The 2,692-nt window shown below is 47.9% G+C and overlaps 2 annotated features.

Annotated features, from left to right (window-relative positions):
• Window positions 261-893: an enhancer, noted in NCBI's record as "H3K4me1 hESC enhancer chr17:63492294-63492926 (GRCh37/hg19 assembly coordinates)". NCBI's record gives its function as "activates a minimal SCP1, AML or CMV promoter by ChIP-STARR-seq in primed H9 embryonic stem cells {active_cell/tissue: H9 hESC(primed)}" and the evidence as "EXISTENCE:reporter gene assay evidence [ECO:0000049][PMID:30033119]".
• Window positions 1,527-2,159: an enhancer, noted in NCBI's record as "OCT4-NANOG-H3K4me1 hESC enhancer chr17:63491028-63491660 (GRCh37/hg19 assembly coordinates)". NCBI's record gives its function as "activates a minimal SCP1, AML or CMV promoter by ChIP-STARR-seq in naive and primed H9 embryonic stem cells {active_cell/tissue: H9 hESC(naive and primed)}" and the evidence as "EXISTENCE:reporter gene assay evidence [ECO:0000049][PMID:30033119]".

Genomic DNA, 2,692 nt, shown 5'->3' with positions numbered 1-2,692 from the left:
CCAGGACTGAACCTGGCCAGTGGGACACGGAGCCTGCCCTGCCTTTCTGGGTGGGCTTGATGGAATAGACGAAGCCCCCAATGCACCCGCCATGCCCTCCTCAACATCGCTGGAGCTCCCCCCCGCTCCCCAGGGGCCCACCCTGCACGGTGTTTTCCCAGTGGCTGGCTGCTAACCATTGCCTCCCCCTCATTCCTGCCTTTCTGGAAGGTCCAGCGAGCCTTGCTTTTCTCTTCTGAGAAGGTCCCTCAAGGCATCTCTCAGCAACTCACCTCTGAGAGGAATCCTGCCTCCCGCCTGGAAGGCAGGTGTTGCCATCAATGTTGGGTCTGAAAACCATTGTCCTCTTCCTGCTAAGCATGGAAGGTCCCCCACAGAAAGTTGACAATAATTGCAATTTTCCTTCCTTAGGAATGGGGTTTGTCTCTGGGGGAGGGCCCAGTCCTCCCTCCTCCTGCGCCCCTCCCACCCCCACCCCACTTTTTGCCTTCTCTCTTCCATTTAGAAATGTTGATGGAAAAACTTTGATTAGTAGGACTCCAGCCACAGGATAAACAGGCCCTGGAGGACTCATAACCTGGTCTCCATAGAACAGCCACACCTAGGGTGATCAGTGGGGAACAGAGGCGCTTGCAATCTGCAACAGTTACACATGAGAAATTCAGGGAGGAGGCAGGGCGTGGTGGCTCACGCCTGTAATCCCAGCACTTTGGGAGGCCAAGGCAGGCGGATCACTTGAGGTCAGGAGTTCGAGACCAACTTGGCCAGTATGGTGAAAACCTGTCTCTAAAAATACAAAAATTAGCCAGGTGTGGTGGCATGTGTCTGTAATCCCAGCTACTCGGGAGGCTGAGGCAGGAGAATTGCTTGAACCTGGGAGGTGGAGGTTGCAGTGAGCCAAGATCGCGCCACTGCACTCCAGCCTGGGCGACAGCGGGAGACTCTGTCTAAAACAAAACAAACAAAAAACCCCAGCAGAAACAAACAAACAAACAAACAAAAAAGGGAAGAAGTAAAAAATAAAATTAAAAAAAAAAAGAAATTCAGAGACATAGAGGTAGGTGGTCACAACTGTAGGAAGAACAGGGGGGCAGGAGAATGGGCATCAGGCTTAGCAAGGTGTATGGCCCAGGCCTGGAGGTGCGGAGTTGCTAAAGACATTCCAGAGCTGCAAGTTTGCTGGAGCGGGGACCTGGGCTGGGTAGAGCTAATGAGGCAAGGAAGGAGAGTAGGTCAGGCTCTGCCTGACTTGGAGGACATTAATGCCTCCATCCAGCAGACTGCGTTTTCAAAATGAGTTTGGAAACCTTCAGTGAATCGTGACGCTAATATAAAAGGCTGCAATCAGCATTAAAAAAAAAAAAAAAAAAAGAGTAGAAAATGTGAATGCATCGCACATAACAGCGGCAAGAGTTGTTTTGTGAGTTTTTTTTGAGCTTGATATGTATGGATGTCTGTAGGTGTTGGCTGGGTCCCCACGGAAGATGCCTGTCTTACCGAGGGTTGCCGCAGTTGGAGGCTCGCTGCCGAGAATCACGGCCCAGTGGAGAAGGGTTCAGGGAATGCTCTTGCGGCTCCTTGGTCCATCTTGTGGCTGCTCGGCCTGGGTGCGGAGAAGGGGAGGGGCCCCGCCTCGCCCCGCACCTGTGGGCTGCTGGCATTTCCTGAGGCTGCTGGTTGTTTGAAGGCTTAACTGCAACCTGCTGTGAAGCAGCTCTTGCTGAGTGCAAAGCATTTTTGAGGGAGTGGGGGTGGGGGTGTGGACTCTGCTTAATTAAAACAGGGAGAGGTTGACATGAGGGACCTTTAGTGGTTTTTGATCTCTCTCTCTTGCTCTGCCCGCTTTCTAACTTGAGGGGGAAAGAAAGCTTTTTCCTACTCTTTCTTCTTCAACCTCTCCTCTTTCACAGACCTGGCAGGTGCGCTGGGCGTTCTGCCCTCCCTGAGGCCCCTCCTTCTCCATCTTGAAAGGGCTGCATTCTGGGGGCAGTTTATACACACGGTGTTGTTGCTTGGGGGGATTAACCATTCACCCGTGAAATGACCTTGACCTTCTGAAGAGTCTTGACCTTCTAAAGGGTTTCAAAAATACATATATAACATATAAAATATAACATAGAAAAATATATATTATATACTATATGTCATATATATAACATATAATTATAAACGTATTATATGTAATTTTATATATAATTATATATGTATATGTAATTTTATGTATAATTATAAATGTATATGTAATTTTATATATATTATTATATATATCTGGTTTCCCTACCAAACAACATAAAAATATCTCATTGCAAATCTGGAAAACCTCTGTCCCTTGGCAAAAGCACTGTGTCTTGGAAGATACATAGGTGTTGGGACAAGCAGGTCCTGGGACAAGCAGGTCCAGGTTCAAGTCCTGGCCCAGTCATTTATTAGCTATGTGGCCTTAGAAGTTGAACTTCCCTGAGCCTCTCTTTTCTCACTGGCAAGATAATTTGTTGTGAGGAAGTATGAGATGAAACCTATCCAAAGTCAAGCATGTGCTTGCTGAGATAATTCAGTTGTGCTCAAACAGACTGTGTTGGGATGGTAGACATTATGGTTCATATCTCTCAAAATCTAATGCCTATCAATAGTCACAGAAGGTTGGAGCCAAGGAGCAAACCATCCACCCAAGTCCCTTTATTTTGCACATGGG

Source organism: Homo sapiens, chromosome 17, assembly GCF_000001405.40.
Source record: "Homo sapiens chromosome 17, GRCh38.p14 Primary Assembly".
In the NCBI taxonomy this organism is placed as follows: Eukaryota; Metazoa; Chordata; class Mammalia; order Primates; family Hominidae; genus Homo; species Homo sapiens.
Note: the sequence above shows the minus strand (reverse complement) of the source record. Positions and strands in the feature narration are given on the sequence as shown.